At 40.5% G+C, this 26,245-nt stretch overlaps 2 annotated features.

The window, feature by feature from the left end:
* Positions 19,217-19,606: an enhancer, noted in NCBI's record as "active region_5416". NCBI's record gives its function as "activates an Ori minimal core promoter by ATAC-STARR-seq in GM12878 lymphoblastoid cells {active_cell/tissue: GM12878}" and the evidence as "EXISTENCE:reporter gene assay evidence [ECO:0000049][PMID:35858748]".
* Positions 24,575-25,075: an enhancer, noted in NCBI's record as "H3K27ac hESC enhancer chr11:94981794-94982294 (GRCh37/hg19 assembly coordinates)". NCBI's record gives its function as "activates a minimal SCP1, AML or CMV promoter by ChIP-STARR-seq in primed H9 embryonic stem cells {active_cell/tissue: H9 hESC(primed)}" and the evidence as "EXISTENCE:reporter gene assay evidence [ECO:0000049][PMID:30033119]".

The raw sequence follows: 26,245 nt of genomic DNA, 5'->3' as shown, positions 1-26,245 counted from the left end.
TAAACATATGTGTGCATGTGTCTTTATAGCAGCGTGATTTATAATCCTTTGGGTATATACCCAGGAATGGGATGGCTGGGTCAAATGGTATTTCTAGTTCTAGATCCCTGAGGAATTGCCACACTGACTTCCACAATGGTTGAACTAGTTTACAGTCCCACCAACAGGGTAAAAGTGTTCCTATTTCTCCACATCCTCTCCAGCACCTGTTGTTTCCTGACTTTTTAATGATCGCCATTCTAGCTAGTGTGAGATGGTAACTCACTGTGATTTTGATTCGCATTTCTCTGATGGCCAGTGATGATGAGCATTTAAGAAGTCCACTTCAATAAATGTTTTGCAATAACTAGAAATAAGAAAGAAATAATTATTCTTGGATAATAGCTGTTGATAGAATTAGGTGTTCAAAATACATTACCCTAAAGCTAGCATTTCACTGAACTAGATTAAATGGAAATTTTAAAAGCCTTTTGTTGAATAATCCCTGTCTTTCAAACAGTATGTTGGCTCTGACACTAATTGTGTGACTTTGGACAAGCCACTCTATCCTCTCTGAGTCTTTGTTTAGTCATTTGTAAATTGGGAGTGATTATGAGGGTTGTTTTGAGAATTAAATATAGTACAAAACTCTTGGTAACCCACGTAGTGCTAGTCTAATATGTGGAATTATTTATATTTTTAAAGAGTGAAATGGCCAGGTGTGGTGGCTCATGTCTATAATCTCAGCACTTTGGGAGGCCAAGGCAGGCAGATCATGAGGTCAGGAGATTGAGACCATCCTGGCTAACACAGTGAAACCCTGTCTCTACTAAAAATACAAAAAGTTAACCAGGCATGGTGGTGGGTGCCTATAGTCCCAGCTATTCAGGAGGCTGAGGCAGGAGAATGGCATGAACCTGGGAGGTGGAGGTTGCAGTGAGTTGAAGTTGTGCCACTGCACTTCAGCCTGGGTGACAGAGCAAGACTCCGTCAAAAAAAAAAAAAAAGAGTGAACTACAACTATAGGGGCTTCTCTTTTATTTTTGAGCTCATATATAATCCTGATGAGGCTGCAGAGGAAAGATGAGAAGTCTAAATTATTATAAATTCAAATCACGACACAATGGCATTTTCAATATATCACTGGCCGTCTGATCCTACATATCAACTCATGAGGGAGAAAATTAAATCACTATTCACTATGAGCATTATTAGAACTTATGAAATCAGCAGAGCATGCTCTCATTAATTCAAGTATTTGTTAAGCAGTTTATGGTAATAATTACATAGACTAAGCTGAATTCTCCCCACCCCAAACAAACCCAACCTCTAAGAAGCTGATAGAAAAAAATGTCTCTGAACCTAGCTCCTAAGATGAATTTCTTAATTCCCTAGATTTTAACAATGGAATAAGAGCATGACAGCTGAGCATCAAAAATACAAAGATAGTGAAGGAAGTAGGGGAGACCACCAAAAAGAATCTCTGAGTGACCTTTCAGCTTAATGCTACAGCAAATACACAGTAGCATTTTACTTATAAGGTTAGACAGACATACTACAACTCTATTACAGACCTGCCATAGAAAACAAAATAAACTAGTCTTGGCAACAATTTGAGAGTGTAATTAAATCCAGTAATGGGTGTGATACAATTTTAAAGAGTTTCTTTAATGAGGTTTTCAACAAATCTGACCATATCCTGATTATTTTCCTTTGGGATATTCAGTAACTTGGATAAGACGTGTCATGTCTATTCTCTAAGTCATTAGTTTTAGTTAACAGCTAATTGAGTCCTGACTTTTGATATCAAGTTTCCTCTTTGTATCTATATCCAGGTCTACACAGCACAAGGCAATTAAGCAGAACAATTATACAGTAAATCTGGGGATGCTAACCGATAGGGCACATCAGACTATAGTTCCTCCTGGAGTAAGCTAATTCAAAATTATCTGAAGGCCTGTTTGTGGAGTATGAATTCACAGGATGATTTCTGGTTCTCCACTATGACAATGGTTTTAGGAAACACTTATTGAGTACTTATAATATGCTGGACACTTATGTTCAGCACTAGGAGCACAGAAATTGTTTAAATTTCTCAGCCCTTAAGATGCTTACAGTCTAACGAGAAAGACAGGAAAACAAACCGCATTGACACAATATGGTAAATGTTTAAAGAGATTCACAGATAATATGGAACTTTTAGCACATCTTGGCTTCCTTAAAAAGGTGATAGCTGAGATGAATTTTAAAGACACATGAGGGTTAGCCAGGTGAATAAAGGCATAGAAGGGCATTTTAGATGCAGGTAACAGCCTGGTCAAAGAAATATAGGTACTGTGTATTTGGAGACAAGGATGAGCTCAGTTCGAGATGTGTTGTGGGAAAATTAAATAAATCTAGCAGGCATTTTGATATTATGAAAAAAAAAAAACAAAGCTCAAGGAAGAGTTAAGGGATGGGGATATAGATTTAGGAGTCATCAACTGATGAAGAAAAGATGAAGCCAGGGAAACAGATCAAGGGAAAAGATCAGAGGGTAAGACTGAGACCCTGGGGAGAACCCAGGTTTAAGGAACAGCAAAAAGATAAAGAATTCATGAAGGAGCAGCAGAGAAATGATCAGAGTGGTAGAAGAAGAACCAGGAAAGCAATCCAAAATGTTGAAAATTTCAAGCAGATGGCCAACAATGACAAGGAAACACAAAAATACAACTAATATAGGCCTAAAATAATACGGATTCCATTAAGCAATGTGAAGAGCATTTGTAACCTCTTAAGAAGCAATTTTAATGGCATGGAGGTCACAGGAGGAAGGAAGAAAAGCTATTATTTAGATTGCACTTTTTGACTAAGAACAGGAGTTGAAGAAAATCTAAGTTGAGAGAGGACAGTTTTAAGCAGAAAGAAATTAGAGAGCATTATAAGATGAATGAAAAGACTCACTAGAAAGTAATACATCAAATACGTAAAGAAGATAGATGATAATCAAAGAGAATTCTGTTGAAACGTGATAGGTGGGGAGAATGACCTTAAGTAGAATGGTGCTCTTAATAATTTCGGCTGTATCCCACTGTAAGGAAAATATCTCACTAAATACCCAGTATATTCACAAAGATATACACGTCTTCATATACATAAAGACAAGTTTACAAACATAATATTTGCCCTTACTACATATTTTGTACCCTGATATTTCCTTTTCTGTTCTATTTTATTTCATTAAAGCATGCTAGTCACGACCCACTAAGTTGATTTCATGCTCCACTAACCAATTAAGGCTTACAATTTTAAAGAACACTGGAATGAGAGAAAGACTATTCAATCTCTAAAACAGAGCAGAAGAAATAAAGCTGGGTAGAGATGAGGCTAAATATACACTTATAGGGAGAAAATTGAGGCATTTCAGGCCTGATGACCTCACATTTCTTGAAGTAGGACTTGAGGTCATGTGTTAAATATGAGTAGAATGGAGTCAAGGTAGAGGGTCAAATGAAAATGATGATGAATTGGAAAGGTCACTGAGGAAATTGAAGAGGACACTGAGCAAAAACAAGGAAAAGGCTACACTGCACTGAAGCTAGCAGCACTGAGGACCCATTGAAGCCAGAAATCAATTACTTATTATAGCACCAGCCCAGATTGTTCTGCAGATCAGACTCCCAGTTCCATCAGGTTTGTCAGTCTTCTTTGATACTCTTCTACAGAGAATCTAGTAAACTCTCAATACTTAGTTACTGAATGAATGTTGAATCCAAGATATTCCATCCCTGTGAGCTGGTTCACTGCCTGAATTTGAAACTATACCACTGTCATTTCAATTCCTCTCTATCTCTCTCTTGTGTGGGAAAGGCATAGGGCACTCGTTAGACTGTCTTCCCCAACCCCTACACCATTAAGGCTTTCCTTTGGAGAATTTGAACTCAGAGAACTGTTCAACTGTCAAGTTGACAGCACCAAGCATGGCACTTGGCATTCTATAGGTACAAGTCATTGATTGATTGACATCTAGTTTGCAATGTATTGTAGAAGTATGCTATGTAACCAGCCTTTGTGTTTATACAGTTTGTCCAACAGATTAAGCAATTGTCCAACAATATTATGCAATGAAACTGTGACTGTTTGAAACAATCTGGCTCCATTCATTCATTCAACAAATATCGATTGAGCACTGACTACATGCCAGGTACTATTCTAGGTATGGGGACAGAGTGTGAACAAGAACAACATGGTGCCTGCACTCAACATTGCTAACATCCTTTTTTCAGGGAGGAATGGAGATGATTTTGTTTTGTTTTGTTTTGTTTTTTGGTGGGGTGAGGAGAGGAGGACAATAAACATGCAGGAAGAGAGAAAAGCTTGTGCAAACTTGAGGATGGGTACAGCATGAAGCATGATGCTGGCATGTCCCAGAAGCTGAGAGAAAGCCAATGTGGCTTCAGCCCAGTGATGGAGAGGACAGGGTCCAGATTGTGCAGGGCCTTGTGTCGCGTTAAAGATATTCACTTCTCTTCTAAGAGCAAAGGGAAGCCATTTAGACAGGAGTATGATGAACAGATTGCCATTCCTGGATGTACCTCGGAGTCTGAATACTTAGCCAATTGTTTATCCTACTGAGGCATCTCTCAGCTGGCAGATTACTCAAAGATCTGGTTTCCGTTTGGCTTTGCTTTTGCCCCAAACACAAATATTGCTGAGCAGGGTCTGCATTTTGAGCCACTTCCCTTCCACCTTCACAATTCACTTTAATTGTCCAGGGCCATTTCTGCTTCTACCCCACTCCAAACTTCAAGCCAAATGGTAACAGAAATCTAAAATCCATACTATAAGAGCCTGGGGTTGACAGAACTAAAGCCACTAGCACTCAGAACAGTTTAAGAGAGTTTAAATTTCAATATCAACACATAAAACAGTACGAAAACATTTCTCTTTGTTAGAGTAGAGGGTTTTGCCTCTATTCTACTCCACTCTGCTTACTTAATTACAAATTGGAAATCTTACAACTGCTAACTCTATTTTGCCTTCTCAGTTTCCTTCTTGATTGCCTGTTGCCTGGAAGCCTCAAGATCCACATGACCACCTCCCTTCTTTTCCCTGCATTCCAGAGGTGGCTGTAGATCTGGGCTGGTAGACAGAGCTGATTCCAGGAAGTGCACCACACTGGGTGTGACAGGAGAAGCGTAAGCTCCTTATGTCATGCAAGTGTCTGGCAACTTGGTGTGTTAGGCCATTCTTGCATTGCTGTAAAGAAATACTTGAGACTGGGTAATTTATAAAGAAAAGAAGTTTAATTGGCTCACAGTTCTGCAGGCTTTACTGAAAGCATTGTGCTGTCATCTGCTAAGTGTCTGGTGAAGGCTCAGGGAACTTTCAATCACAGTGGAAGGTGAAGTTGGGAGCAAGTGCATCACATGGTGAAAGCAAGAGCAGGAGACAGAGAGAAAGAGAGAAAGAGGGTGGGAGGTGGTGGTGTGCCACATATTTTTAAATGACCAGATCTCACGAGAACTCATCATCACAAAGACAGTACCAAGCCATGAGGGATCCACCCCCATGATTCAAACATCTCCCACCAGGACCCATCTCCAGTATTGGGGATTACAATTCAACATGAGATTTGAGCAGAGACAAATATCCAAACTATATCACTTGGCTTGTGTCTGGGAAGTGTGAATCCCCAGGCTGAATGATTAATTAGAATGACAATAGAGGCCTGCTCAAGGTGGATCCCCAGGATTCAAGTACGGCTGCATCACAGGCATAGGGAGGCCTTGTAGACTTGTCCTTGTGGCATGGGCCATGGAGCCAATGCACCATGTGGATTTTATTGAAAATATCTGCCCTTTACTAGAGAGACTATAAACCCCATCTGAAATATGCCACCCACTCCTATCTGACAATGAGGGTGGGAAGCTATTTTTGCCTTACAAGAAAAAGCAGGAACTTGTTATTTTGTAATTTTCTCTACTTCATTTGCTGCCCTTTGACTTCTACCCTTCATGCATACTGAGCCTCCCTTTTCCACCCCATTAAATCAGCCCCAATTTAAGGAAGTTTTCCATTGTCCCTCAGTTCTTTGTACCTAACACATACAATCTTATTTAATTTTTTCAAATCTCTGTGATTGCAATGCAACGCAATTAACTCATCAAATAAACCTGGTTTTGAGTATAAGCTGTGTTTTACTTCTTAAGCAGTCTAATCTCACAGAACCTTATTTTCTCAATTATACAATAGTGGGAAGTCACCTCATTGGTGTTGGGAAAGTTAAATGAGATAATGCACAGTGTCTGGCACATTGTTTGTGTTCAGTAAAAGTTAGCTGTTATTATTGTTCCCACTAACCCAGGCAGGAGGAAACCATGTGGGGGTTGATCTTGTCACATAGAAATCTTAGACACTTGAAGACGATCCAAAGTTTCTCCACTGCAGCTCAGTTGAGTATTCTTTGCAAGATTTAGACTGTATTTTGTTCTATGCTCTAACTACCAAGATTAAGAGGCTGAATGTCACCTGTTAGACACAGCTCTGCGTTATACAGATGTTCTTTAGAACTGCATGCTCTTATAAACAAATGAATTTTGTAATAGAAGCACCAGTACTTTTTATTTAGAGTCAAAATGCAGAGACAGGCGGGTCTCAAGCCAATAAACCCAGGGTTCCAAAGTCCTAATTTCCTAGAATGTGGTGAAATCCTCCCAGACGCTACTGGTGGGTGGGTTTGGAAGCAACATGATAATCAGTCCCATGCTTCTTCTTTTGTTTGTAGCGATCCCCATGCCGGAGACCTTTCTTTTCTGTGGCTAAGCAATCTTCTCCCTGGGCTTCTGGATGCTCATTTCAAGAGCACTCCATTTCAGTGACTCATAGCTAATTTACTGAACCTTGGATGAGGTTCTGGGCTCTGTACAAAGTGTTCTGGAAACACAGTCCTTGTCCTTAAGTTCCCTTCAGTATTCTATTTATTAGTAAAATTGTACTTCTCCTTGTCTCCAAACATACCTGGCTCCTTCCTGCTTCTGTACTTTTGCTCATAATGTTTACTTCCAGGAATACCATCTCCATTCCCTACCCTCCCTCCCTACTCACATCATCTCTACTTCTCAATATTCTTCTTATCTGTTTTAGCTCAATTCAAATACCTCCTTGCAGCTTTTCTCCTGCTTTCCCATATCCCTCTTTCTCCTCCAAAGTCTCATCTTAGAGTCCTTATCTTATTCAAATTGTCATTTTGGAGTGTCATTTTCTATTTACACATTTGTCTTCCCTAATTCAGGATAATATACCAAAGAGAGAAATCTGTTATTCCCTTTTGGGTCTCCCACAACATTTATAGAACTTCGCAGTGGATATGAAAGTTTGAGTGACTGATTGAATGAATTCATTCATTCAACGTACATATTGACTACCTGCCCATTGTGGACCAAGCACATTTGTAGGAGCAGGAGACATACAGATGATTAGATAAAGTTCCTGTCCCTGGAGAGCTCACATTCTATGTGAGTTAATTACAAAATGGTTCTAATAGTAGACATGCAGGATGTTAAAAAGAAAAAAACTGATGTTACCACGAAACAAGAAAGTATTGCAAATATTTAACATCTTTGTTATTCCTATGCTGATTTTTCCCATCAACTAATACTTATCTTTTTTTGTTTGTTTTTTGAGACAGGGTCTCACTCTGTCACCCAGGCTGGAGTGCAGTGGCACAACCTTGGCTCACTGCCATCTTCACTTCCCAGGCTCCAGTGATCCTGCCACCTCAGCCTTCTGAGTAGCTGGAACTACAGGTGCACGCTGCCACGCTTGGCTAATTTTTTTTGTATTTTTTTTTTAAAGATGAGGTTTCACCGTGTTACCCAGGCTGGTCTCAAACCACTGGGCTTAGGCCATCCACCCTCCTCAGCTTCTGGGGATTACAGTGCTGGGATTACAGGCATGAACCACTGCACCTGGCTCTATATGTTGTTTACTATTTGCTGAGAGCTAGCCACTTTAACAGATATCATTTCATTTGATCCTTACAACCAAGAGAAGAAGTAGGAGCTATTATTACAGTTGAGGAGACAACAGCTCTTGCAGGCTAAATAACATATCCGAGCATGAGAGTGTAAGTGAATGAGAAGGCTGAGATTTGAATCCCACTCCACCTAACTCCAAAGACGCTAGTGATCAACAACTGTGTCATACCACCATAGACTTTGGGACAAGAGCCTCAGTGCCAACAGAGGAAACAGCCTGACCCACAGCATGCATTCGTTTTCCCCTCAGCATAGTTTCCCTGTATCAGCCTTCATTGCCACAACTTTACACACCACTTTTGATGTATGTTATTAGCTGAAAACATTTTCTTCATAAATTTTAACAAATTCAATTTCTACATTTAGAAAACTGTGTTGCCAGCAGTTCCTTCATCCAGAGAGTGTAGGTTAGGAGAGCAGTCATCATTAATTTGGGTTTTGCCATGTCACATGCAGTGACAGCCTGACTTCTTGAAGGGATTGCCACACCCCACACACCTAATAGATCCAACCGCTGACAACGTTTCTGTATTCCACATACCCAACCAATAACTAACTGTAAATCATCTTCTAAAAACTCACAATTTCAACGTATGATGGCTCTGGTGACAGCTGTGATTTCGTTCAAGGTCACCCCTGGGGAAACCAGATTTGAATAGAATCAGTTGAACTTCGAGGCAAAGTCACACCGTCCTTAAAATAGGGAAGGCACTGCAGAGTGAGCTTCGTGAGAGGAAAAACTGTCTTGGAACTCTATCTCTACTATCTCTGGGACACGCTCCTCATTCAATAGGTGTTTGTTAAATGAAATGAATACATAAATGATTTATTTTTTAACATCACTCTGGAAATAATTTGTTATTATTATTATTATCATACCACCACACTCCAGCCTGGGTGACAGAGCAAGACCCTGTCTCGGTTAATAATGTAATTATTAATTATTAATGGCTCACTGCAGCCTGGACCTCTCGTGCTCAAGTGATCCTCCCACCTCAGCCTCCCAGATAGCTGGCACCACAGATGACTTCCATCATCCCAGCTGTTTTTTTGTTTTTTCGTTTTTGTGTTTTTTTTTTTTTTTTTTTGGAGAGACAGGGTTTTGCCGTGTTGCTCAGGCTGGTCTGGAACTCCTGGGCTCTAGTAATCCACCATCTCAGGCTCCCAAAGTACCAGGATTACAGGCATGACCCATCTCACCCGGCTGAAAATAATTTAAAATGAGATGTATAGTGTGGCCAAAAGAATATTGACCTTGCAGTTAAAAAAAAAAAAAAGTTTGATTCCTAGCTTCAGTACTTGATATTTATGCGTGGCATGATGCAAATAAGTAAACTGCGTTAACATTTTTTCATCTGTAAAATGAGCATAATGTTGTTACACCTGACTGTTGTGAAGAAAAAACAGGATAACAATGGAGTGCCCAACAGTGTCAGCACACAGTAGGTCCTCACAAATGTTTCTTTCCTCTGGAAAGCAAATTTGCTCAATTGGTTTGCACTTTTTCATAAAACATAGATCAAAAGAGTCAGATTAGGTCTGGAGTGCACCTTTCTTATCCTCATTTGAAAAGTCTTATTATTTGGACACACCAGTTGTCCATAATTTTAAAAAAACCATTGATAGGCCAGTGGCAGGTCCTGAGTTACTGTCCTTGCCAGGAGTTGGCAGTGGTACAGTAGCACACAAGGGACATTAAAGTGCCACTTGAAGTATCTCCCGCAATATTCACAGGAAGGCTGTAAGTCCATTTAGCCCTTTAGTCTGAGAGCTTCATAATAAAAGGAGTTTCAAGGCACCAGAAGTTCCAATTATCCCAAACAGGTGAATGTTCCTCTAATTTCCCAGAGGTTTTCTGTCCAGTGAGCTGATCTGCTATCTCCAGATATCTTGGTTGTTGAGTTCTGAATGAAAGGGAGTAAAGTGAGCAAGAGCTTCAGAAAGCACTCAAGAATACTGAAGCATGAGAAGGTTATGTCAGCACATTTGATTTTTTTCACCTATTTCCATAGGCTATGCCAACAAGAGTAGCTTCAAAAGCTACAGGTAAAGCTGTTGGCATACAGCAAACCATTAACAAATGCCACTTCCTCTCCTCCTAGAAGAAATCCTCATATCACAGCCACAGTACTTAGGCAAAACCTCAAACCGGATCCCAGACAAACTAAGAAAGTATAGTGCAGTGGCTTTAGCAGCCACCAGGCAATGTGGCCTTGAACAAGGTTTTTCACTAGTGTCATCAAGTGACAACCACTTGAGTCAATTATCTCTTTCTACCCTATTATCAGTTCTGTGAGACAGATATTTTTATCCTCATTCTTAAAAATAAAGACAATGTCAAAAATGTTAGAAAGCTTCCCAAGGTCTCACAGCCTGTGAGTGGTTAAAACCTTAGATCCCTTTGACTGCAAATTACAGTTTTCACTGTACTTCTAGATCTTCACCTCTGAAATGTCATCTAGAAAAATCTTCCCCAGTTCTAAATATCTACATTTTTATTACGCAATTTAATAAAAAATTGAAGTTCTACTACTCAGGTTTTCCTATGCTAGGTGTAGTTAGGAGATATCAGGAAGAATAAAATGTGAAATCTATATTGACACACACACACAATAATCATAATACAAGACTGAAGTGGGAACAGTCATCAAGAAGCACTAGAAAAAGGGCTGAGGGACTTCAGAAAAGTGAGGAATTGGGTCTTGCAATTGAGCGGGCCAAAGGAGACTTCCGGGAGGAGGAGGAAGAATATGCTCTAGACCTCTCAAATGTCCACTCAGTGTTCAAAGAAAGATACTTCTATTTCATAGGCACCAAGACTTCTGTGCTTTTTCTGCTTCTCCATTTAAGTTGAGAGAACCCCTCTGTGAACTGAGAGCATGATATTATTTTGGACAATTTAAAGACAAGAGAATTCCTAGTGCCCATAATAAGGCGTATTTCAAAATGCTTGCTTTAAAAGACTATGCTATTTAAGGTTCAGTTCATCTAAATCCTTTCACTTCATCATTATTGTCATTTCTTCTATAAATCATGCACACATGGACATCTAAATAATTCAGAAGGCTTACTGTCAAGCATCTCCTCTTGGTTCAAGGTGGGTGGGTAGAGGGTTTGGATTTCAAACCTTGGACGGTAAACAGAGCTCTGCTTGTTTAGAAATCATACAAGACAAGGGAAGACACAGGTTGCACTCACCATGTGCCGGGCATGGTTCTAAGTGCTTCACATGTACTATTCTCATTTAATATGCGCAATTATCCTATGAGATAGATACTATTAATATTCCCATTTTACAGATGAAAAAGCTGAGACACCAAGAGGTTAAATAATTTGCCAAGGATCACTCAGAAAGTAATTGTCAGAGCCCAGGTTTAAATTAACAAAACCTTGTTCTTGAAAATGTGTTATTCACCACTGTTCCACATGGCCTCCCCCTATGTGTACACAAATGGACTCATCTGGTTTAAAAATCAATAAAAGGAGAAAAACTATCATGATTCTAACATTTGAGGAAAACCAAAAGTGTGTGTGTGTGTGTGTGTGTGTGTGTGTGTGTGTGTGTGTGTGTTTTACTGTAAACTTCTGGCTCAATGTATGATTCATAGTTTTAATGGTCTGAATTTTATAGGCTTAGATTTTTTAAATTATTGTTAAAATGTATATATTGCTATTTTTGTAATATTGAATGTAAATCAAGATCATTGTAGAAAAATGTTATACACAGCATAGTATAAAGAAGACAACAAAATCACTTAAGTGACTGCTACTTACATTTTTGGAGGATTTCCTTGCAAAAAATTTTTTTATATGTATAGCTATGTATTTGCCTTCTCTATGCACATATTGGGGACCATGATATACCCAGTTTAATATATTGATCTTTGTCCATGTTGTCACGTCTTATTGAAAAATTTTTGGCCGGGCTCAGTGGCTCACACCCATAATCCCAGCACTTTGGGAGGCCGAGGTGGGTGGATCATGAGGTCAGGAGATCGAGACCATCCTGGCTAACACGGTGAAACCCGTCTCTACAAAAAATTAGCTGAACATGGTAGCGGGCACCTGTAGTCCCAGCTACTCGGGAGGCTGAGGCAGGAGAATGGCGTGAAACTGGGAGGTGGAGCTTGCAGTGAGCGGAGATCGCACCACTGCACTCCAGCCTGGGCAACAGAGTGAGACTCCGTCTCAAAAAAAAAAAAAAAAAAAAAAAACACTTTTTTTTAGTCCTCATTTTAAGGGCAGAAAAATATTCCATCAAATGAACATTCTATAATATATTTAATAAAATCTCTATTTTAGGCATTCTGGTTTCCACTTTTCTTGTTAAAATAAATGTTTCAATAAATGACCCTGAACACTTTTATAACTGAATATTACTTTCTTAAGCTTTGTTAGGTTTATATCTGATTTAATTAATTCCATAAATATATACTAAATATCTACAAAGTACCAGCTGCAGTTGAGGGGCTAAGGACACTGTGGTGTCACTGGGTCAAAAGGGATGAATATGGTTAAGAATCTTGACACATATGACTAACTACTTCACTTGAAAGCTTGTTCCAGTAATTTATGCTACTTGAGCTGCCTAAGATTTTGCATCTCACTAAATCCTATATGCATTAAGCATTACAGTCCCCAATTTGAAAGTGAAAAATTGTATCTCATCCTTGCCTTTACATTTCTTTTACTTCTTGTGAGGTTATACCTTTTTTTGTATATTCATTATTCATAAATGTTTAATTTTTAAACTCTTGTTCAGGGCCCAGCCTAACTGAAAAAAATCCCATTCCATATTTCTTTATAGCTTGAGAAAATGCATATCAAAAATACCTTCAGAAAACCTTAATGTTGCCTTTTAATACCCATAAAAGTCAAGGTCAGTCTTTTAATACTTCCAGCTCTCAGAAATCTGGGTTATTGGAGAACATCAAAATGGGCTCACTGTCTGCATTGAGAGCTTAGAATGACCTGGGCAGGGACATTAAACCAAATTGGGTAGAAGACAGAAAATCTGTTGGCCTCAGCTCAAGGAAGTTTAGCAGGCATATCAAGAGTTAGAAAAGTTCTTTCTACAAAATATTTTAAAAGACTCAGGTTTGTCTCGAAGGCAAATTGTTATTTAACGTAACGTAAAATAATGTAATAATGTTACTGAATGTCACATGTGCATCTCACTGAATCCTATATGCAAAAAGCGTTTCAAAATACAAAAATCTCTTTGTAACCTGTTCTTAGAAATAGCATCCTTTCATCTTTGCCATATTCTATTCATTTGAAATCAGTCACTAAGTCCATACACATCAAGTCATTATAAAAGGGCATGAATACAAGAAGGCAAAGATTGTTGGGGACCATTTCAGAAACTGCCAATTACACTTTCTATCCTTTACCATATTTTATGTTCTTCATAGCACTTAGTATTCACTAAAATTATTTGTTTGCTTATATTTTTATCATCTATTTCCCTTCTCTAGAACGTAAGCTCCATGAGAACACGGACTTTATCTGTCTTGTTTGCCACATTATCCCCAGAACCTTAACTGTATCTGGCATATAGCAGGTATTAAATAAATATTGTTTAGTTGATTAATCAATTGATGAATCTGATAGAATACAATGGACTTGGAAAGCATGTTTATTGGTCAAGAAGATCTGTTGAGTCAAACAGACTTGAGTTACGTTCCTGTATTTGCCACTCACCAGCTGCGTGACCTTGGGCACATGACCTAACAATTTTCTATCTCAATTCCCATGTTGCAGTTAGTTGACTTGCAGATTTAACTTGACCTTGACATAAGTCAGAGACAGAGAGAGAGAGAACTTGGCGCATAGCAAGTGTCCAATACATAGTCATTATCCTTATAATTCAAATGATGGTTCTGATCTGTGTGTAAGACTAAGCCCAGCAGGTCAGCCTCGCACTGGCACCAATTTGCATTGAAGATCTGCTGGGGAGAAGTGTGTGCATCATTCCCCAGGAGGCTTCACGTCTTCCCCACCCACCTGGGGCCTTGTTTGGCCAAACTTACCCATGGAGGAAGAGAAAGAGTGGTTACCAAAGCAGAGAGCCAAATTGCGAGGAGCCCATTTCCAGTCACCACCCAGCTCCTGGCCACTGCCCTCAGGCTGAGCTGCTGACCACCCTGCTGAGTTTGTGCTGAACCCTCTGCACTCTTTCACTCCATCCCCATTCAAATGGAAAGGGAGGCCTTGCCCTTCAGAGTTTCCCAGTACCATCTAGTTAGTTCCCAGCTAATTAACCCCAAATAAGAGCAGAACTGAGGAAACCAACCTTCTGCACACACTCTGACCAACTGAACAAAACCACTATGGCCAAAATCTGATTGAACAAGTCAACTTGGTTGAGTAGGGGTTAAACTTTTTCGCTTACCTCAGATGAGTTGAAGATTTTCACAGTAAACAACAGTACACACAAACATTTATAATAGTTAGAACTTGTTTATTATTTATTTGTCCATCCACACCACATTTATTTAGTTTAGTTTAGGGCACATTTATTTAGTTCATGCATTGATCTGGCAAGATTCACAGATGGGAGTACTGATTTAAGAAAATTGTGACAGAGTGCAGTGGGATCTGGGAGGGAACACCTAACTCGGGTATTCATATTTTTTAAAGAATCCTTGAAACGGATCTTGAAGAATAAATGATTCCTTTCTTCAACTCCTACTTACCAAGTTTTTACTATATGCTAAGGAAAGTACTAGGTAATAGAGAAAAAACAGTGAATTGAGGTCAGGTGCAGTAGTAGCTCATGCCTGTAATCCCAGCTCTTTGAGAGGCTGAGGTGGGAGGATCATTTGAGCCCAGGAGTTCAAGACCAACCTGGACACCATGGTGAGACACCATTTCTACAAAAAACAGAAACCAAAAAATTAGCCGGGTGTGGTGGCCCATACCTGTAATCCCAGCTACATGGGAGGCTGAGGCGAGAGGATCACTGGAGCCCAGGAAGTTGAGGCTGCAACGAGCCATGTTGATGCCACTGCACTCCATCCTGGACAACAGGGCAAGACTGTCTCAAAAAACCAAAAACAGGCCAAGCACAGTGGCTCATGCCTGTAATACCAGCACATTGGGAGACCAAGGTGAGTAGATCATTTGAGCCCAGTTCGAGACTAACCTGGGCAACATGGCAAAACCCAGTCTCTACAAAAAATACAAAAATTAGCTGGGCATGGTGGTGTACGTGGTGGTGTATGCTCAAGTCCCAGCTACTTGGGAAGCTGAAGTGGGAGGATCGCCTGAGCCTGGAAAATCGAGGCTGCAGTGAGTTGTGACTGCGTCACTGCATTCCAGCCCGGGCGACAGAAGAGACCCTGTTTCAAAACAAAAACAAAAACAGTGAAAGAAACACAGTTTCTTTCCTCAAATTGCTCCTTGTTTTGTGGAGAATAAAAGGGCAGGTGGGAAGTCCCTAGAGAGCAAGTGGGTGCAGGATTTAAGCAAAGAGAAGTTCATAGGCCAGGTGTGGTGGCTCATGCCTGTAATCCCAGCACTTTGGGAGGCTGAGATGGGAGGATCATGAGGTCAGGAGATCGAGACCATCCTGGCTAACACGGAGAAACCCTGTCTCTACTAAAAATACAAAAAATAAAAAAATTAGCTGGGCGCCGTGGCAGGCGCCTGTAGTCCCAGCTGTAGGCTGAGACAGGAGAATGGAGTGAAACCGGGAGGTGGAGCTTGCAGTGAGCAGAGACTGCGCCACTGCACTCCAGCCTGGGCGACAGAAAGAGACTCCATCTCAAAAAAAAAAAAAAGAAAAGAGAAGATCATGACTTAATATTTTAGTATGGCTAGAACGCATCAGATGTGGACATGAGAGGAACTGGGAGGGAGTTCGCGGGAGACAAACCTGAAGAGACATGTTGGTCCAGATGTGAAGAGCCAGGTGTCAAGCTAAAGAGTTTCAACAGGATTCTGCAAGCAGCATCAGCTGTACAGGGGGTGTGTAGGGGAATTATATTATCAGATCTCTGTCTACAAAGATTCCACAGGCACTTATGTTGTACAGTGAGAGAGTGAAAGCAAGAAAAGTTTTACAGTTTTCCAGGCAATAAATAACTGGGCCCTGAACTAAGATACAGGCAAGTAGAAACAGAGAGATAGATAGGAGTCAAGAGGTGGATCAAAACACTGGGAGATACTACATACTCCCAAAGGAGTTTAGAGTCCTTTTAAGTCACCTACTCCACTCCTATTTCACCAGTAAGAAAACTTTCTTCCAGAGGGGTCAAGTTATTTACTCAAAAATCACACATAGCTGGAAGCTTTTCCCAGTTCGGTCATTTTGATTATTGCCATATATATTAGTTTGCTAGGGCTGCTGTAACAAAGTTCTACAAATTGGGTGGCTTAAAATTATAGAAATTTATTGTCTCCTACTTCTGGAGAACTCCAAAATCAAGGTATCAGCAGGGCCAAGCTCCCTCTGAAACCTCTAGGGAACCCTGCCTTGCCTCTTCCTGGCTTCTGGTGGTTTGCCAACAATCTTCGGTGTTTCTTGGCTTGTAGATGTACCAGTCCAATCCTCTGTGTCACGCAGCTTTCTTCCTATGTGCACCTGCCTTCACACTGTCGTCTTCTTATAAGGACACCTGTCATGTTGGATAAGGAGCCCACCCTACTCCTGTATACCTCATCTTAACTAATTATATCTGCAGTGAACCTATTCCCAAATAATGTGATCCTTCCAAGTAAGAAATGTATTTAATCCATGATACCATATCAAATTGATCTGTCAAAAAAGAAAAAGGACTCTCTTGGAATGAATTGGCTTCCCTTTGCCTAAATATAGGTAAAGATCTCTTAGAGCCCATATCCAGAGATCCAATTACTCAAAACTAGGCAGGTCTTACACTCTTGGTTAAAGGTACTCATTTTAAACTTCTCCATTTGGACTTGAAGTGATTGGAATAATGGAGGTACTGTCTGAAGATCTCAACTTCCGGTTTCATTGTTTCCGCATTCAGTATCTCCATCCTGATGTCCTAACGTGATCTTTCGCAAGTCTCTGAGCTTACCCACAGGCTGTCAGTTTATCTTTCTGCACACCGGGAAGAAAGAGACCTTCTCTGTGTTGCAATAAACTAAGCCGTGAGTGGACAGCGAATCTACGAAGTTATGTCTTAGTCAGCAAATGCATTCCTCAGGAGAAAGGACCAGTAGCAACAGCAGAATGTTGCCATTTCTGTAGTCTTCTTGATTTCTGACTAATGAGGAACCAAAGAATCCAAAATAGCTGATTTGCCCTCACCCAGGAAATACATCCCCTACCCGACTTCCTCCAGAAGTCTCTGGGTTCTACAGCTGCTATAACCTCATACCTTCCCAGGGCTTTCACCTCTGTACAGACTCCTAGTCTGCTCTGCTCTGTCAAAAGCTTTTCTAAACTTCTCTGGGCACCAGAAGCACCCCTTGAGGGATGTTAAGCTAAGGAAAGGGAATGGTGATAACAGCATTGCTTCAGATACTTCATATTTACGTCTTTCTCGTAAAGAGTGCCAGGGCCTTATAGAATCACTCGAAGGCCCATTGCATTAATCTCAAGGATCCCAAACAAGTGAAAGTTAGATCACACTAAAGCCACCTTCATTTAGAGTTTGTGGTCAATCAAACAGAGCCTAAACTGAAATTTAATTTTGCCCTAGCAGTGAGAATTTGCTAAGCAAATTAATGCTAGAGGGCAAACAAGGCTTCTTGAGTCTGCCTAAGAGCCTTTAAAGGACAACATGCTTTCAAGGGCTGGAAGCAGTCTTTTTACATGCTAATTACAAATCCTACAGTATTTGTGAAAGCAGGTCCCTCTGGGATTTCTATCAGCCAACAAGTTGTTTATTTCCAGTTTAAAGGGGGTGGAGGGTCTATGAATTATTGAGTAGCTACTATGTGTTTTGCCTGTGCTTGGTGGTGAGAGATTGTTTATCTTCACAACCGTCCTTGGAGCTAAGCATTACCCCAGTTTGCACCTGTGGAATGGAGAGGTGGCTGGAAGCACAGAGCTGGGATTCAAAAGCTGGGAAGCCTAAACTCTGGAAGCTGTGCTCTCTCCTCCAGCATATTACCAACCTTTGAATGTAATGTCGGCTTTTCTTTAAGGAATATTCTCAAATCCAGCCTTCTTCATATTTCAGAATAGCCCGTCCCTAATTAGCTCAAATTAGCTAGCTTTGTAAACCCTTTTTCATTTCAGTAATGAGGAAAACGAGGCATTCAGCCAAGAAGCAAACTGTAGAAGGATAGGTTGCAGCAGGTCTGGGCTAATAAATTGCAGTACATGGTGCTTCCTGAGACCTACCAAGGACTCTGAAAGAAGACAAGATGAAAAATCACTCCCTCTCTGAGATATATATTTTCTTTTGGAAAGATGTGTTTTCACCACTCACAGGAAAAACTGCTTTCTGGCCTTAGATAGCACAGAAATTGTCCTCAGATAATGCCAGTGAGGAACCTGCCTGGGAGGTCTAATCGACCTGGGATATGTCATAGGTAATGCCGGGTAGGTAGGTTTAACCCTTCGATTGCACCCTTTTCCAATACTGCTGTCACTGCCCACTAAGATCAGAAAAACTGACAAAATTTTGGGAAATAACTTCATGTTTTCAGAAATGCTACAAAGCCCTCTCCACTCCCACCCATGAGACAATGTCTACAAGTCACATCATATCCTTCCAGCTTAGACTTATTTTTAAAGCACACACAAAACACACTTTAGTGTAATTGGAGAATTAGCACTTTTGCCCCAGAAATGAAACAGCTGTTGATTTCCAGGCTGCTTGTCATTAGAGAGAAGACTTGAAACATCAGAGGCAAGTTCAAACTCCCTAAGAGGCAGTATTGAACTTTACTTGTAGCTCATGTGCCAAGAGCTGCCCAGCATCACTATGCATGAAACAAAACAGGTTTCAAGCAATTATAAGACACAACATATAAATCAAGACTTTAGAATCTTTATTAATGCTGAATTTTTTATTCCAAAAAAATACTTTCAGGAAAACAAATATGACTCATGACTTATGAGACTGGCTGCTTGGATGCAAATCATCTTAACTGCTTGCACACTCCTTGGTACCTTTTCAGCTAAAGAGCCATTCAGCCTCAGCTTCAAGTGCAGAGGAAGTGCAAATAACCCCTGCACTTCAGAGCACAGCTTGCTTTGCTAAGAGACAGTTGAGCAAAATCCCAGCACGCTCTGATTCATTCTGCCTGCTGATTGGTCGTTCTCCCTGGCTGCTGACATCATCCTGTTGCTGGGTGGAAAACTTATGCAGCACAGCCCTGATGCTGACTTCTGATTCTTGTGAAGGGGACGTTGTACTCAACAGCGAAATCAGATTGTAGCTCAAATGGAATTGGAAGATATCTTTTTTGTGTGATCACTTCAGTCATCTTATGCCTCTTAAATTATAGCGCCCTCCCAACCCCCATGCCGTAATCTAGCAAATGCTATTGTGTGGCACTTTCTCTTCCAAGCCACCCAACCCCCAACAGCCTCTAGAATACAAGAGAATAAGAAAAAAACCTTATCGTTTGCCTTCGACTGTAGGTGGAAGATGTCTTACACATCTCCTAGATGGGGCTGGCCTTCTGATTAGTTCATTTGCCTTTACCATCAGTATTAAACTATGTCTTCACTTGCTGCAAAGAATTGTGAAGTAATTTTTAGGACTTTCTATAAAAAATGCCTTATTACCTCTCATTTATTTTCCCAGCATTCTGTAAGCCTTAGGTAAACTGGGGAAGTAGTGACAAAGGCCAACTTGTCTGTTGCCCTTTACAGTGCGCAAAGAACTTTTTTATATACAATGTCTCATATGTTCTTTGCAGCTGTCCCATGCATGAGGTACTATTACTTCCCCCACTCTATAGATAAGAAAACAAACCCCTAAATATTAAATCCATTGCCAGCCATATAGCTTGCACATGATGAAGCTGGGCCTCAAACCCATGGTTTTTAATCCTAGTTTCTGAACTCTTTTCACTCAGACATAGACTCTTTCAACCTTGGGAGGCTAAGTGATTTGCAAGAACCAGTGCAAATTAAGTAGCTAAACCAGTGCCAGAACCCAGCAATTCTTGTTCTCCACACAAGGCCTTTTCTTCTAAACCTCTTGGTAGCTCTCAAGACAATGTTAGAGATGCTCTTAGATACACATTTATTTTAGAAATCTTTAGGCTTTCACAAGCTTTTACTGATTAAGTGCAGCTTTGAGGGAAAAAAATAGAAGCCTAATAATTCAGATGCACATTTGCATTTATTACATAAGGCTTCTGTAAGGGATAAGCTTATCCAGTTGCAGGCTTATTTTAAGTTTTAATGGAATGATTTTGACAGATCAGAAATAGCAGGCTTAGTAACCAGCTCGGTAACTTAGATGTCAGAGACATTTCCATGGTGGATAGCGGGGCTCCTTAGCTCTCAGGACACACTAGATTTCTCTTGTTTGTCTCTGACTGGGATGATTAACCACCCTTTGCTTGGCTTTCATCTTTCCTGGCACAGCTTTGTCTTTCATCTCATTCATTGCTCCAAACCCTTCTTCCCTTTAACTTTTAATACACATACAAAATATTTCAGCTTCCCTCAGTTATTTTTACATAAGCAGAGCAGGAAAACATGGATATACTTCACGGAGCCTGCCACATCTGGTTTGCTCAGGTACTCCCTTACCCATCTTTATTTTTAAATGAGACAAAGAATCCTTCAAAAAAGGCTTAGGAGACTAAAATGTTGGAGGAAAGGAATGAAAGAATGGGGGGGGCAAAGATTACTCAGACATGGAGGTGAATATTTGCATTTTCTATCTTGATCTTTGTGACAGCAGCAACACATAGTGTGGTGACTTGTATTTCACAACGTACATAGCTGCTTCTGTATACTTTGCATTCTTCTCTCATTTTCCCAGTAATTGCCTTTTTTCACTGTGGGGCTTTTTGTCCCCTTGACCCCCAGGTCTCCTACTTCCTGTGTATGACTTAGGCACATGTAGCTCACTCTAAATTTCAGCAAAATGTTCTCTCTGAAAGTGACTTCTTTTCACACCACTCAGATCTTCACATTTTCACTGCCTGTGGAAATATAAACTTACTGATTTTTGTCTTTCTGTGTTATTTGAAGGTAACAAACAATTTGTTGTGCTGAAAAACAGAATTGTTGTCTCATAGACTCCCCAGAGTGATGGGCAGTTCCTACATCCAGCTCTCTGGCTCCCTGTTCAGTGGACCTACCACACCTTTGTTCCTGCTGTCTGTTTTGCCTGAAATGTGTGTCTTAAAATATGGCACAGTAGATGCTGAGCAAAAACAACAACAAAATCCTATGGTCACATAGTTAGCGGCAGTTGAAACTGAAATTAGACCCCAACCTCACATGATTATTAAACGAACATTTTAATGATAAAGAAAGACATTAATGCAGGCTAAAAAAAAATGTGTGCACCATCCAATTCCAAAACCCCAGACAGGCACAATGACTCACACCTGGAATCCTAGCACTTTGGGAGGCCAAGGCAGGTGGATCACTTGAGGTCAGGAATTCGAGACCAGCCTGGTCAACATCATGAAACCCTGTCTCTATTAAAAATATAAAGAAATTAGCCAGGCGTGGTGGCAGGAGCCTGTAATCCCAGCTACTCAGGAGACTGAGGCTTGAGAATTGCTTGAACTCGGGAGGCGGAGGTTGCGGTGAGCTGAGACGGCACCACTGCACTGCAGCCTGGGTGACAGAGCAAGACTCTGACTCAAAAACAAACAAACAAACAAACAAAAAGCAAAAAACAAAATTCCAGACATGAAAGTCCCTGCTGGGAGTCTGGGACTTGGAATCAACCCACCCAGCCCTCTCCCACCTCATCCATTTCCCCTACCTATTTTTCACTCTGGGAGATTCATTTTGCCCAGAAAGTAGGAGCAAATCAGGTCCACAGCTAGATATTATGTTCTAAGCTAGATGATCTCTAAGGATGCTTCCAGTATGACATTCTGTGACTTTGAGCCCTTTGCAAAATTGTGTGTGGGATTAAGAGTTCAGGCTCTGGAATCAGGTCCTATTCAAACCTCAGCTCTGCAACACACCAGCAGACTACAGGGAGAGACGGAAACCAAGATAAGAGTGGGGATGATTTAACCTCCCTCTATTTCTTTCTTTTTTTTTTAAATAAATCAAGCACAGTAACATACCTGCCTCTTATAGAAGAGGATTAAATAGGATAATACCTGTGAAATCCCTAACACAGAACTGCATGTGGGATGTTCAAAAATCCCAGTAAATGTTGCCAAGTATTTTTGCCAAACTGATAGAAACTCAGATACATAAAGAAAAAAAAAAAAAAGATGGAGAAGAATTAATGAAAGCAAATTTCAAAAATGAGAATCTGTGGTCCTTATAGTTTAGATAATCAAAGATAAAGGCAAAACACGTGGGGACAGAACAAAAAACTATAAATATCTCAAGATGGTTTACATCAAAAAGAAGAATTTTTATTTCTCTTTCAATGAGCTTTCTCAAATTAAGCTGTAGTTTTTATTATATTTATTATGTTTAGTATACCTGTTCACCAGAGTTCTATTGTCAAATTCCAGGCTCTTTCTACATGTCCTGCCCATGAAATTGGAGATCAGTGATAAAGGGGTTACACGTCTCTTTTCTCCTGATTTCACTGCATCATTTGTAAAATCTCTGAGATAATCTGAAGACACTAAAAACTCCTATGACATATCAGGAAGTGCTCCAGAGACCAAAGTGTATGATTCTGTGGAGCCAACACCAAGGCATGAACGTGGGACCCAGTTCCTAACCACATAGAGCTAAACTGGGAAATGCCAGAAGGGCTAAATTTTATATTTCAACCCTCAAAATTTATCAAATAGCCTGGATGTTTTGAAAGTCCATAAAAAGCTGGGCTTGGTGGCTCACACCTGTAATCCCAGCACTTTGGGAAGCCAAGGCGGGCGGATCATGAGGTCAGGAGATTGAAACCATCCTGGCTAACATGGTGAAACCCCGTCTCTATTAAAAATACAAAAAATTAGCCGGGCGTGGTGGCAGGCACCTGTAATCCCAGCTACTCAGGAGGCTGAGGCAGGAATCGCTTGAACCCAGAAGGTGGAGGTTGCAGTGAGCCAAGATCACGCCACTGCACTCCAGCCTGACAACAGAGTGATACTCTGTCTCAAAAAATAAGTAAATACCTAAATAAATAAATAAAATAAAGTCCATAAAAACTCATGCAGGTTAGGTCACCAAACAATGTTTATTGAGTGTCCATCACATGTAATACAAATACACTGTGCTCAATTTTGAGACTATGGTGATGAATAAAACGACAAACCCATACTGATAGATGCATAACAAAATTAAAATGTAATGTCACAAGTAGTGTGGCATAGGTATTCACAGGTGCTGTGGGTGCCCATAAATAGGGCACTTATTTCTGGCTATAAAATAGGGAGAGGCTTCCCAGGAAAAAACACTGTATGGTACCCTACGTGTACTGACCAATCAATTAAGAACCACCTGGAAAGAAATCTCTACTTGTGCCATGCTAAAGGGCTTAAGGACCCTCTGAGATCTGTCACCAATTTTTTTTTTTTTTTTTGAGACAGTCTCACTTTATGGCCCAGGCTGGAGTGCAGTGGCACAATCTTGGCTCACTGCAACCTCTGCCTTCTGGGTTCAAGCGATTCTCCTGCCTCTGCCTCCCAAGTAGCTGGGATTAAAGGCATGCACCACCACACCTGGCTAATTTTTGTGTTTTTAGTAGAGACAGGGGTTTCACCATGTTGGGCAGGCTGGTCTCGAACTCCTGACCTCAAGTGATCTGCCGGCTTCGGCCTCCCAAAGTGCTGGACCAATTTTTTAAGTAAGATCTTGAGTTAACAAAAAGAAGACATGTTCATCAGATCTGCATGTAGCATAAAGTTGGAAGAGAGAGCTAGTAGCAAGATTCAAAAAGATATAGCAGGCAGGGAGGATGGCCTGAAACCAAGAAAAATGTAAAAATTTGTATTAAAAAAAAATCAAATGTATAAGAACAGGAGGTGAAAAAACTGGTTCAGAAGCACTCCGTGTGAGAAGACACGGAATGATTAGCTGGAAGTTCTTGGTTTGACTATTAGCTTCTTTAATGAAACAAAATGTCATTACTAAACTGACATATCCTTAAGGGCAGGAGTCACATCTTAAATATTTTAATCTCTCTCCCTTGTCTAGTATAGGGCCTAAAACAGAGTATGTGCTCAATATATCTTTCTGAAATGGAGTCAAAACTAAGAATGCCCAAAGGAATAGGCTCCACTAATGAATGGGCTGTGGTCAGAACCACCAAAGAAGCCTGTTTCAGTTCTCCCCTCATGTACAGTCTTTCTGACACTGCTCTAGGCTTTCTCCTCCCATTTTCTTCTTAAGATAAAAGTCAAAATCTTTTGCATGATTTAGAAGGCGGGACCTCTTCCCCATTTGACCTAAAGCCCCACTTCCCACTGCTCTCTTCCTGGCTCACATACTGCTCCCACTCTTTCAGTTCCTTCCAGTCTGAACAAGTGCCAGTCTCTTTTCATGGAACACTCCTCCCCAGCCTCTCACACTCACACACATGCACATGCACACATACTTTCCACCTGTTTAATCTGCTTCACCGCAGCTTGTCTTTTTAACCTCCCCCACTCTCTCTTTCTCTTTCTCTCCCTCTCCCAACTTTCCCTGTGAAGCTTCAGTGTAGGGGCCCAACAGGTCCAGCACATTTCTCCCCTAAAAACACAAAGCAAAGAAAGGACAGCTGGGAGTATGGATGAACAAAGCCTCATGACCGCAGGGAGGGCTGTTCCCTGGAGGAACAGAGAATCACATACCAATGCTAGACCCACTGCATGTTGGGGGAGGAGACTCCTAGAACAAGGACAGGGCTGAATGCAAAGGAGGGGGCAATTTCGCAGACCCAAGCTGGCCAAGAGTTACCCAAAGGATGACAAAAGTAGCAATTACTCACTGCAGCCTGAACACTAATTCCTATCCTGAAACTTACAACAATATTCAATATTACATTTACACATGATACATGATATAAATTCAGTTTACAACCACTGGTTATTAAAAACTCTTGAGTAATGCAATTTATATTTTATTAACCTGATAAGAATTCACTATTCTTGTAACATAGATCAGACGACTTTTCTGCATGGACTTTCTTTATTTATTTTCTTATAAAAGATTATTGTATTGACGATATAATGATGAGAAAAAGCGTCCTCATGAAGCATAAAATCTCGTGGAGAAGGCAGCCAAGCCAAAAAAAAAAAAAATTGCTGTATCAAGATGTAATATGATAAAGTGAAACAGTTTAATCAAGCTCCTTCATGACTAAATATCAGTTTTCTGTGTTAACTTGATGAAGATGGCAGAAAGGTTATTTTTGCTAAAGTAATTTAAGTTTTTCCCTGGCATGTTTGAAGAAAAGGCATCTACTTGCTTGGAGTATCCAGTTTCAAACTCAGCAAAGGCACTACTGTAACACAGCAGAACTGAAACTGGCACCTTTGGAGGCACGGAAAACATAACAGATTAGTTCAGGTCAAACAAGTGGCTTCTATCAGTGGTTGGGTTGTAAAGAATAAAAAGGGGGAAAAGTGAGGAGATTAGCAATGTCTCGAATCCCATAACCCTCAATCCCTTATGTCATCCATAGTTCTGACGTGGGTCTTGAGTTTCACTTATTTTTCTCAGATTGATGCTTTCAGCTTTTCTAACAGGCTGTATGACCTCTCAGGTGTCACCTTTGCTGTGGATGTTCTTTTTTCCATCTGCAGTGACATGGCATATGACTCAACCTTCAGAATTTGAAGTTAATGAAAAGGTTTGGATGATCCCAACTTTTCTCTTGGGCAGATAATAGCAAAGTTTTATCTTACTTGCCTCTCCAGCTTCCATCGTATATTTCAGGTTATTTTGCTTCTGAATAATGGCAGTGGTAGCTGAATTAGAAGTTCACTGGAATTCTGATCTCAGCTTTTCACTTGTTTTTAAAAATGCTTCCTGTTGCTTGTTAAATCTTAGTTGCTATTGTTAAGTAGCACACTGTATTTACAGTGAGTTAAGGAACATCAAGAAAACTGCTCTGGATTACTTTGTCAACCCTTTCACAGAAAGCACAGATATACTACCCTCAGGTGACCTAGGAGACAATGGGTTCCACTGTCATTGCTGGCCCACATTGTGTACCCAGATGGAC

The sequence above is a fragment of the Homo sapiens genome, chromosome 11, assembly GCF_000001405.40.
Source record: "Homo sapiens chromosome 11, GRCh38.p14 Primary Assembly".
NCBI classification, from domain to species: domain Eukaryota; kingdom Metazoa; phylum Chordata; class Mammalia; order Primates; family Hominidae; genus Homo; species Homo sapiens.
Note: the sequence above shows the minus strand (reverse complement) of the source record. Positions and strands in the feature narration are given on the sequence as shown.